Source organism: Homo sapiens, chromosome 21, assembly GCF_000001405.40.
Source record: "Homo sapiens chromosome 21, GRCh38.p14 Primary Assembly".
Taxonomy (NCBI): Eukaryota; Metazoa; Chordata; class Mammalia; order Primates; family Hominidae; genus Homo; species Homo sapiens.
This window is the reverse complement of record NC_000021.9, coordinates 28,658,632-28,671,239: the sequence shown is the minus strand read 5'-3', so window position 1 is coordinate 28,671,239 and position 12,608 is coordinate 28,658,632. Positions and strand designations below refer to the sequence as shown.

General features: G+C 36.1%; 1 protein-coding gene across 1 annotated transcript in view; it reads left to right on the top strand.

The window, feature by feature from the left end:
• HEMK2 (HemK methyltransferase 2, ETF1 glutamine and histone H4 lysine) overlaps positions 1 to 12,608 on the top strand; it is a 309,770-nt gene that overhangs the window by 214,128 nt on the left and 83,034 nt on the right. The window lies entirely within an intron of this gene.

Genomic DNA, 12,608 nt, shown 5'->3' with positions numbered 1-12,608 from the left:
GTTTCCACATTTGTTTGGTCCCTCAAAAGGCAAAGATGAAGTACAGGAGAAATACATGGATCACAGGCAAGATCCAAAGCTGGCTGCAGTCTCTGAGGCCTGAGCCTCCCGTGAAGGCTCTTGCCCCTCCTTGTTCCATACATCTTTCTTCTTCATAGCAAGACACTCCCATTAAGCCCAAAAGCCCAGAGTGCAACTCAGATATACAATATATTACCTGTTGCATCACTTTCTTTGATATAGTTTGACTCTGTGTCCCCAACCAAATCTCATCTCAAATTGTAATCCCCATAATCCCCATGTGTCGAAGGAAGGACTTGGTGGGAGGTGATTGGATCATGAGGGTGGTTCCTCCCATGCTGTCTTGTAATAGTGAGAGAGTTCACACCAAGATCTGACAGTTTTATAAGCATTCGACAGTTCCTTTTTCACATGCTCTCTCTTGCCTGCTGCCATGTAAGACATGCCTCCTTAGCCTTCCGCCACAACTGTAAGTTTCCTGAGGCCTCCCCAGCCATGTGGAACTGTGAGTCAATTAAACCTCTTTGCTTTATAAATTACCCAGTCTCAGGGAAGTTCTTTGTAGCAGTGTGAAAACGGACTAATACACTTTCTAACAGGACAGAGCTCTGACAATACTTCTCAGATTCACTAGCTTAGTAGAAAGATCTGCCTTGCAATGTCAGCCTCCAAGAGTCTTGAGATGATAGAGGCTGTCTGTGTGTGAGAAGTTTTTCTTGAGTAGTTTTATTGAATAGAGAGAAACCGTGTCCTTATGGCCTCAAGACAGTACACAGCAATGAGAAAAGAAAATGGACTCTGGAGATGTAAAAGATACCACACATGGCTAAATGTTTGGTTGAGTGACAGAATAAATTCTATTTTAGGTTTTAATTTCATTTTTACAAAATAAAACTAAGAATATTTTTAATCATGTGGGACAGAGTCATTTGCATCAGTTCCTTTGCCCATTTAGACTGTAGGCTCTGTTTCTCAAAACTATAAATTCTGTATTTAGTTTAAGAAAGTATATTTTTGATTGAGGTTAACACAATATTTAAGTTAATGGAAAACATGCTTCCATTGCAGAGTATTTCCACCAGGATTGCTGGATTCTGTACAACAATCTGTTTCTATTTTGAAAAAAAAAATGATGCTGTTATATGACCTAAATATTCCTATTTTCTCTTATTTCACTCTTCTACATTCATATGCTTCGTTCTTCAGGTATATTCAAATAAATGACACACTGTGAATTCAGATGAGAATACTTCCTAGTAGTATATATCCTTAATGTTTCATAAAATTAGGAAAATTATTTTGCTTAAAGTCTGAGCCCCTTTTCAATGTAGGGAGCATGAGTTCCCACTCCTGCTACCCAAATAATGCTAAAACTGGGGAGAGGTTATGAGTTAGCTTTTGCTGAGTGACAAGTCACCCCCAAATCCATTGGCTCAAAATTGCAATCAGTTTTTCTTTCATGTGTATGGATTTCATATGGAGATGGATTGATCTAACTGCTCTTGGCTAAAAAGCTCTGATTCAAGTTGGGTCCAGCTGGGCTTGGCTTCTTGCTTGGGCTTAGGCTGGTCAATGTGTAACTCTGGGGTCCTGTCTGGACTGGCAGCAGCTACCAGGAAAAGCTGTTCTCAAGGTACAGATCAAGAGGGTAAGCAGGAACACGGTTTAAGCTTGGAACTGGCACTCTGTTACTTCGCCCACATCTCACTGGCCAAGTGAGTCACATGGTTAAGTCTAACCACAAGGTAGGGAAACAGTGGGAGGAACTGCAAAGTCAAATGGCAAAGATATGAAAACACAGAGGGGAAATAATTGGGAGCCAACATCCAATCCATCAGAAACTTCAGTTTATTCTCTTCCTTTTTTGAGTCTCACTCTGTCACCCAGGCTGAAGTGCAGTGGTGTGATCTCGGCTCACTGCAGCCCCCGCCTCTTGGGTTCAAGAGATTTTCCTGCTTCACCCTCCCGAGTTGCTAGGATTACATATGTGTACCACCACATCTGGCTAATTTTTGTATTTTTGGTAAAGACAGGGTTTCACCATGTTGACCAGGATGGTCTCAAACTCCTGACCTCAAGTGATTGGCCCACCTTGGCCTCCCAAAGTGCTGGATTACAGGCATGAACCACTGCACCCAGCCCAGTTTATTCTCTTCTTTCTACAAGTGGGAATGTTGTTGTGTCATCTTCCCTTCTTCCCTGGGACAGCAAGTCAAAAAGTAGGCACCTGCTCTGAATAGTGACTTGTCCTAATCTCTAGGCATAGCTTTCTGCAAACCAGTGATTCTCAAACTTTGGTGTATGATGGGATTATTGATGAGATTGGTAACAATACAGATCCTAGGTCCCATCCTCAAATGCATTACATTAGAATCACTGTGGGAAGGCCAGGTCATTTATACTTTTTAACAATTTCCCCAGGTGATTTTGATGCTCTTCAACATTTGAGACCTATATCACTAATACACGGTTAATTGAAGTGGTCAGTATATGTCTTGAATTTGATGGATGGAACCCTGGTAGTTTGGCAAGTGTGATTGATTGTATTATTGTTCAGCAAATACTGCCCTCGACCATACCAGCACAGGAGGCATGTACTTCCTTGTTACATAGCTATTGGACCTGGTCATGTGATTTATTTTGGTCAATGAAATGTGAGCAGAAGTGACCTACTTCCTGTTCAAATAAGGTTTTCAATTTGTTTATGTCGTTGCTTTTTTTCTCTTGTGTTCCTTCCCTCTGCCATGATAAAAACTTCTTTAGGTGGCTACAGCTGCATCAGCCTTTGAGCGATGTTATAAGTCTTAGACTGAGGAACAGGAACCAGATATATAGCCTGGAGCATAGTCACCATGGCTACCTCACAGATCCATGTGTGACAAACAAATTTCAGTTGTTATAAGTCAATGAGATTTTGGTATTGCTTCTTATGCAGCATTATTGCAGCAAAAGCTGAAAGATACATCCAATAACAGCACAGCAAAACTGGGATAAAATATGGTACTCTAAATTCCTTTTTCCACATTTCTGTTAGATTTCAAGATGCCTTTAGTGCCTTATTTAAGGTTATCTTTAATGTTTGTTCTAATTTGACTTAACCTGGTTGAAAATGCTGAAAAGGGGGAAAATTGGCTTATAACGAGATTTGACCAGGACCTAGAACACTCTCAGGATTGTTCTTGATACTAAATTTTCCCCCAAAGGACTTCTGTGTTTCCCAGACAGAGTACGAGTTTTTTCTCGTTTGCTGTTGGGTTGATTAGCAGTAATAACAATGAATACTTAATAAATATTAGTATATGCCAGGTGCCATCCTGAACACTTTCCATGTATTAATTCATTTAATACTCCCAACAACTCTATGAGGTAGTGATTATTATTAACCTTACTTGAAGGATCACAAAGGATCACACATTCGTAACTCAGATCCCACAGCTAGGAGGCCATACCAATGAGAAGATGGATTTCAGAACTTGTTTCCTTGACCCCTCTGTTGTTGCCTCTAGAATAGTGTTTTTAAATGAATTTCACCCTCTTTTACTTTTGTAACTTTTTATTTTTAACTTCTGTAGGTGCATAGTAGGTGTATATTTTATGAGTTACATGAGATGTTTTGATAGAGGCATGCAATGATGCAATGTGAAATAATCACATCATGAAACAACATAAATACTCCTAGAAAAGCAGTCTGATTTCCACCTAGAGCAGAAAGATTCCAGATTTCAGAAGCAAAATGTGTATTCGACACATTCTTGAGAGTGAAGGACAATCTGCTGCAATATTTGCTTCTTTATTCTCTCTTTCCCCCATTCTCATAGTTTTGGTTTAGAATACTTTTTTCCCATATTCTAATTCTTTCATCAAAGAAACACAAATTATGGCTTCTCATTTCACTTTAACCCAGAAACCTGATGGTGGATTATATACTTTTTAGCAAAGCACATCATTGGAATAAAAATCTGTCAAAACAACACATGTTTATATATTCCATGAGTTCATGACAATGAGATACAGCTCGCACAGGGAGAAATAGCAATTTAAAAATTATGTAAAATAAGAGCATATATTTCATCAGGACCTACTCTGAGACATTTTATATATATTATCTTTATTTCTAATAACAAGTCTACAGGAAAATTATTATCTTCCTTTACGAACAAGATGATTAGGTCTTTACAAAGTTGCATAGCTAGGTGATAGAACCAACATTTGAGCCATAGTTTTATGATTCCAAATTCTGTTGTCCTGGGCTCCATACCTCATGACTTCTGTTTCTTTGAAGAAAAAATACTTTCAGATTACTGCATAACAACTAGTTTTTTCTATTTGTTCCCATAATATAGAAATCTCTGAAATGAATTTCTCTGTCTTTTGTATAGTAAGTCCAAGTGACCAGATGAGAACTAACGACTATATTTTCTAGTCTTTCCTCAGAACACATTATGGTTAGATGAGTGGTTAAACAGGATTTATATATATCAAGAGATATCTAATTCCAAAAAAGCTGCTAAGCTATTTATTACCCTTCTACCTTTTGCTCCAATCTAGGCAAATATATTACAAATCTATAGGAAAACCTGCCCTCCTCTGTTATTAATGATTAAGTGGAGGACAGATTCTTAACTGTTTCCAGTAGTAGATCTAATCATCTAATCATTCATGTCTCTCTTCAACATGGTGTGAAACTAGTTTGATATTCTGAAAGTGCTAAGTCTATTTATCTGCCAAACTGAAGAAGACCACATTGCCAGAAGTGTATATTTTCTTGTTTGCATGTTGGATTCTCCAAAGGCATGTATTAGCAACCTAAACTCCTTTTCTAGTATTAAGTGTATAGTAAAAATTGAACAGACAACTACTTTAAAGAATCTTAAATGTATACTGCAAAGGGAATCTAATGATTAAATGAGAAAATAAATTCTGTAAATTTCTCACCAAAGTCACACATTTTCCTAAATACCGAAGAAAAGATAAATGGGAGACAGAGTAAGAAGAAATCTTCCTTCCTTCCAATCTGCTTCCTTTCAAAGCTGAGACAAATGGAAACAAACTCAAAAGTCCAGGGACATGAGGGAACAACGTAGGTCCTAAGTTGAGGACCATTTGCAATGTTAGAAATAGATTCTAATTTAAAATATGCATCATGCATAATCAATTTAGAATTGTGATTTTAAGGTCAAGACAGAAGTTTATTAATAATATTAGAAAATGTAAGAGAAATTGATGTCCCTCAGATTTATAAGTTTATTTTATAGAGAAGAATTACATAAGCAGTTGGCAAGGCTATTTTTTTTAAAAAATGGACAATGAAGTACCCAAATATATAAATGCAACTTAAAATATTTAAAGAAATATAATCCAGTCTATCATTGTTGGACATTTGGGTTGGTTCCAAGTCTTTGCTATTGTGAATAGTGCCGCAATAAACATACGTGTGCATGTGTCTTTATAGCAACATGATTTATAGTCCTTTGGGTATATACCCAGTAATGGGATGGCTGGGTCAAATGGTATTTCTAGTTCTAGATCCCTGAGGAATCGCCACACCGACTTCCACAATGGTTGAACTAGTTTACAGTCCCACCAACAGTGTAAAAGTGTTCCTATTTCTCCACATCCTCTCCAGCACCTGTTGTTGCCTGACTTTTTAATGATTGCCATGTTAGTTACATATGTATACATGTGCCATGTTGGTGCGCTGCACCCACTAACGTGTCATCTAGCATTAGGTATATCTCCCAATGCTATCCCTCCCCCCTCCCCCGACCCCACCACAGTCCCCAGAGTGTGATGTACCCTAAAACTTAGACTATAATAAAAAAAAAAAAAAATTAAAAAAAAAAAAAAGAAAATTAAAAAGTAAAAAAAAAAAAAAAAAAAAAAAGAAATATAAATAAGTTTTCAAATGTGTTTATAAATTAATCTTTTTTAGATTTATTTACTTTTGGAATAGGGTCTCTCTCTGTCACCCAGGCTGGAGTGCAGTGATGAGATCGCGACGTCTCACCACAGCCTCAACCTCCCAGACTCAAGACATCCTGAGTAGCTGAGACCCATAGGTGCATGCCGCCACTCCTGGCTAATTTTTTTTTTTTTTATGTTTAGTAGAAATGAGGACTTACCATGTTGCCCAAGCTGGTGCTGAACTCCTAGGCTCAAGCGATCTACCTGCCTTGGCCTCCCAAAGTGTTGGGATTATAGGCGTGAGCCACTGTGCCTGGCCTATAAGCCTCTTTAAAAGTAACTGGAGCTATAAATGGAGTAAGATTTGTATGTTGAATTGAAAAGCTTAGGAGTGAATTAGTCTTACAAACTTTTAACTTATAATAAATATTAATTTTTAAAACCAAAGTAATCTTCTGAACAAAATCTACCCCTCTTGAGTATCAAAAACTAGCATTTATTAATCATATAGTAATGCTACTGTAATCTAAAGGTCTAATTTATTTTCCTTTCTGAGCATTTCAACCTGTGAAATAATTATTATTAGAGACTGAAGCATGCAGGAATTATTTCAAATGTAGTGCACATAGAGAAGGACCTGAAGGTATAGTCTGCTAGAATTCTAGTAGAGTGATTATCTTTTCTCTTTAGCTTACAATATATATATATTTTTTAAAAGGCAAAGTTTTAGGAGGAAAAAGTCATGCTTTCAATACTCTGCACTATCCCTATTTTATAAGAATAAACTGTAGTACAGATGGTTGATGGTAGTGTAAGTAAAGTGCTAATTTGAGTTGGGTGAAGGTAGAGAAAGAAGAAAGAGAAATATTGTATTTGATAAAATCCACTGCTCCTTCAAAGTGTGGGCCTATGTAGTGATTTATTTTTCTAGAATAAGAGCAAGTAAGATACCCAGAAACATATGACACAATTTATACAATGCATGTACATATATTTATTTATGGTTTCAATTGTACCAAAAGAGAAATTATAATGGCTTTGCAAAGACCACAAATCTTTTGCATACAAGTCAAAGTGTCTATTCCATGTGGCTTAGGAATATGTGTAAAGCTTCCATATGGGTAAAAGATTTTCTTATACTCAAACAAATGAAAGAATCAAGCATCAAAGAACTTACTAAAAGATTTGACAAATGTAAACACATATAAAACTAATTCCAGTTTTAATGTCTACACGTTTTATTTTGCAATATACTTTATTGTTTTGTAATAGAGCTGTAAAAAAGTTTTTGCCAAAGACAATGAAGCTTTATATATGAGCATACTATATGTACAATGCGTATGTATGTATATACATCGGTGTTAGTCTATTTCAATTTGCCTTCAGTTTGCATATTCAACTACATGTCCCGCTGATGGACTCTTGCTCTTACAAACTAAAGAGATGCCCGCTCTCTTGAAGTAAATGCCAAACCCTCAGAATAATGATTATATGTTTCATTTATACAATTTATTTCCTCCAAAGTGTTCATTTTAAATTAACTCCACATTGAAGTGAGTGATCATGGTAGTGGCTGACAGTGCTAGGTTAGACGGACTTTGTCCTAACGTCATCAATGACAATAACAAAAAAGACAGAGAGAAACAACAGAAACAGCAACAAAAAGAAACCCATCCCAAGTAACCAACATTGCATTAAAATTAAAGTTGGCACCTAATGTTGAACTAGTCTGTTCTTGCCGATGGGCCATGTGATGGGATAGTTGAGGTCCATATATCATTGCTGCAGAGCCCCTTTTGTCCACATGCTGCACTGCAGAAGTCCCAAACCATGGCCCACAGGCTGGATTTGGCCCATCGCAGTGTTTCATTTGGCTGGTACAATGTTTAAAACTTTCCTGAGCCAACATTATGAAATTGGATGCTTTCACATAAAAATCCAGATTTCTGGCATCTCTCAAAAAATTAGGAGATCTGGGAACACTGGGCTCACATTACCGCACTGCAGTCCCAGGCTGGCTGGATGGCTGCTGCCCTCTTTAGACAGGCATGTGTCCTCCACAGTCCCTACTTGTTTCTGTGACTTCACTACACTTATCATTGCACTTTCTCATTTCTCTTTTAGTAGGAAATTATGTCTTTCTTCCAGCGTCTTTATCAAAATATGAAAACAGCATGGTAGAGTTATATCTTTACATCAGATTATTCTTTGTGTATTCTCTTCTCGTTTTTTCACTCTCCATTGAGAGATTATTTCTCTCCTTTATCTCCCACTGAAGTTGAAACAAAGATCTAAGAAACTGGATCAGTGCTGGAGGTGCTGGAAGGTTCTCAGAGGTATGCTTTTTCTCTTAGGGAGCAGTTAAGATTGGGCTTGGGGAAAGCAAGAGGAGGGGAGAATGGAGAAACAGATAAGAGAGTATGTCGGTGTATCAGTCTGTTCTCATGTTGCTAATAAAGACATACCTGAGACTGGGTAATTTATAAAGGAAAGAAGTTTAATTGACTCACAGTTCTGCAAGGCTGGGGAGGCCTCAGGAAACTTACAGTCATGGTGGAAGGGTAGCAAGCACGTCCTTCTTCACATGATGGCAAGAAGGAGAAGTGCAGAGAAAAAGAGGGAAAAGCCCCTTATAAAATCATCAGATCTCATAAGAAGTCACTCACTATTACGAGAACAGCAGCATGGGAGTAACCATCTCCACGATCCAATTACCTCCCACTGGGTCCCTCCCACGACACACGAGAATTATAGGAACTACAATTCAAGATGAGATTTGGGTGGGGACACAGCCAAACCATATTAGTTGGTTTTGGGTTCTTAACTTTGAACACACCCTTCTGTGATTGGCTTCATGGTGCCTGGACCTGGACTCTGAAAGCCACCTTTTTGCTTTGTGAAATGCTTCCTGTTAGACTCAGCCAGCGGAGGGGGAAAGAGGGAGGCTGCATGACTGGAGGCAGATGACAAACCTGCTCCTTCCAGTTGGTTCCTGTGAGAGCAAAAGTCTATCAGTGGGGCATCAGCAACATTCCTTCAGCTTGGCAGCAGCAATTCTTTCAGGATGTGACAAGCTGAATACAGCTTGTAGTGTACAGTTTACACGTATCAGCGTGACCCTCTCCCGCCCACCCTCATTTCCCTTTCAGAGATCTGCTCCTGCTTCATGGGCCTCTTCCCCAAGCTTCTAAGTTTAATATTTCAGATTGTTTATTTCCTTCCCTCAGCTCTAGAGATGACAGTTGCTTCACCCAGTTGCCACTTCTGTGATGCCTTAGAGTCTCTCTTTTTCTCTAATTAACAAAATGTATACTTAGTTAACAATTATTTATGGTACTTTCTCTCTGTTCAAATAACTTCTTCCTGACTACATCCTAACTAACAGAGAGAGAATGGGATGATTCCACTTGTGCTGTTCAATGTGGTAGCTTCTACTCACTTTGGTTACTTAGATGTAAATTTAGTTAATTAAACATAAATAAAATATAAAAACTGTTTCTCAGTTACACTAGTCACATTTCAAGCACTCAATAGCCACACGTGGCTACTGGCTACTGTATTGGACAGTGGAGATACAGAACGTTTCTGTCATCACGTAAAGTTCCATCAGAGAGTGCTGGGCTAGAGGAATGAAGAGTTCTTAAGGTGGAGGGGAAATATGAGTAAAAGAACTTCATTAGAACCAGGAAATGAAATACAAGAGACTCAGCATGAGCTTCCTCAAGAAAAGAGAACATATATATATATATATTTGCATACATATATATGTTATTTTCATTGCTGATGTTAAGACAGAGACAGCAAAACCTAGCACTTTTAGTCATTAGCATAATCACAAAATTGAAAAATATAGTTTCTCTGATCACAGTGCTGTTAAAATCCCATATATTTAAAAATTAATGATATGATAAAATTATAGTGAAATATTGCATAAATAAAGTAGTTATAAATAAAGTAGTCCTTAGAGGAACATTTAGAGCCTTAACTAAATATTTGAGAAAAGATGAAGGTGCAATTAGAAATTTATGTGTCCAGCTCAAGAAGTTAGAAAAAGAACAAAAAGTGAAATACGAAGATGGCAGAAACTTTAGAAAATCAGAAAGATACCATAAATTAATTAGACATCAAAGATAGAAGAAAATACAAAGCCAGTAATTAGTTATTTTGAAGGATTAATAAAGTTGGTAAGCTCCTGGGAAGAATGATGAGGAAAAAATAGAGAAGGCACAAATAATGTCAGTAAATAACCATAGAACTGATAGAGATGAGAAAGGTAAGATATTTTTAACAACCCAAGTCCAATAAACTTGGAAATTTAGAAGAAATGGACCTATTTCTAGAAAAAAATTTACCAAACTGGCCTTAAAAAAGTAGAGTATGTAAGTGGTTCTTTAAGTATTAAACAATTGGTTCATATTTGAATACTTCGTTCAAAGATAACTTCAGGCTCACATAGCTTCACTATTGAGTTCTGTCCCATTTTTTAAAAAGGCTTAATGGCCATCATTTACAAATTCTTCCAAAAAATAGTAATAGGGGAACAATCAGCCATCTCATTTTATGATGTTCTCCAAACTTTGATTTTAAAACCAGACAAAGGAAGAAAAATTACAGGACAATCTCACATATTAACAATGGTCCAAAACTCCTAAACAAAATAATCACTAACCAAATATAACAATATATTACACCACAATTAAGTTTTTTTATGTTCTAGGAATGCGAGATTAGTTTAAAATTTGATCATAAACCAATGTAGTCCATCACATTAAAAAACAAAAGATAAAAATATTATAAATATATAAAATAATTTGAGAAAATTTATGATTAAAAATTCTTAGTATAGATAGTTTATATAGAAAAAATTCACAATCTGATAAAGAAGAGTTACCCCAAATCCTCCAGCTAACATTTTATGTAAAAGTAAAATAGTAAGAACTTTGCCTTTGAGATTAGGAACAAGTAAAGCTTGCCCAATTTACTGTTCAACATGTTAGTGGAAGTTTTTTTATCATTTCCAGAAGGCAATAAAAAGAAGTAAAAACTATAAAGATTAACAAAATTATAATTATTCACAGATGATATTAAGTTTTAGGTAGAAAAATCCAAAAATTAAGTGATAAATTATGAGAATTGATTTGTGAGTTTAGCAAAGTCATTGTATTTCAGCTTGATCAGTTTTATTTTACACTCTAGAAAAAAACAAATGAAAGATTAAAAGTTAAAAATAATACCATGAACAATAATATAAAAATACTGAATACCAGGAATAAGTCTATTAAAAGTTGTGCAAAACCTCTATACAGAAAACTACAACACATTATTGAGAAAAATTTAAAAAGGATCTAATAAATAGAAAGCTATAATCTCTTCAGTATTTCAATTCTCCCCAAATTGATTTAGGTTCAGTGCCATCCCAATAAAAATTCTAGCACTTTTTTATGTGCTTGCACATATGTATGTGTAACTATATTGTTAGGATAATTCTAAAATTTGTGTGAAAGGCAAGAGACCAAAGATAGCCCAGGCAATACTGAAGATGAATAACTAGGTTAGAGGACTTACCTTATCTGATATGGAGATATTTGGTTAGTGGATTGTGGAAAATAATGGTATCCTTTGGGCTAAGCATGAGATGTCTCATTACCTATTTCTCTTTTGTTAGAAGTATACCCCAAATCTTCAAGTCTAACCCATTTTAATTTTTCATTATATTGCAATGTTGAGTCCAGGGTATATGAATATGGAAGGGAATTTCATACTCAAATAGTTCTCTTTGGTTTCTACCTTTCCTCTTGAACAGAAAATGTGGCAATGAGCTTCTTCACTTCTTTTGGCACTTTTAAAATGCCTGGGATGAAGATAAAGGTGCTGAAAAATGAGAAATGGGCAAATGCTGCTAAAATGGTTATCAAAATTCTGAACTGATAAAAATATTTTGATACAGATTGAGGAACTTGATTGTCCATTTGGAACAAAATGCTCTAACAGGTTAATTAGAAGGTATCTTTTGAACTCTTTGAGAAAGCTGAAGCGCTTGCAGTGGGTTATTATTAAATCATGTAGAACAAGGCTTTTCAAATTTTCCAAATTTCTTTATTGAATAAAGCTTCTAGGCTGATTGATTAGGAAAATGTATATCAGAAACTAGTTTATCAGACAGATATGGAGAGAATATCTTTGTGGACAAAAAGAAAAATGTCAGGATGATAATGTATTCAGGAGAATTTGTAAAGTTTTGACTGATAGTTTGTATCTAAGAAAAGCAATCAATATTTTTGACAGTCAGGAAGTAGCTGGTTACATGCAGCAAATGTTTGAGATTATACCTACTCAACACTGTTGGTGGCCATAGGAAACAAATAGTTAACATGGACTTTGGAACTTTAGCTAATATATTGGAGGGCAGAATCGAGATCAGACGCAGGTAAAATAAGTGACCAGGTTTAACAAGATGAAATGTAATAGCAATTAACGTAAAGTGCTACAATGAATCTAAAGATTCAGCATATGCAGCAGACAAGATGTGCCTTAACATTAATTTACATGAAAAGGACAAGAGGTTTTTTGTCAGTCATGAGCTTGGGACAAGTCAACGATATAATACGATTTCTTAAAGTCTAATTGAATCTTAGGCAAATAGCTCATATGAGATTGGTAAATATGACATTAAAATCATGCCA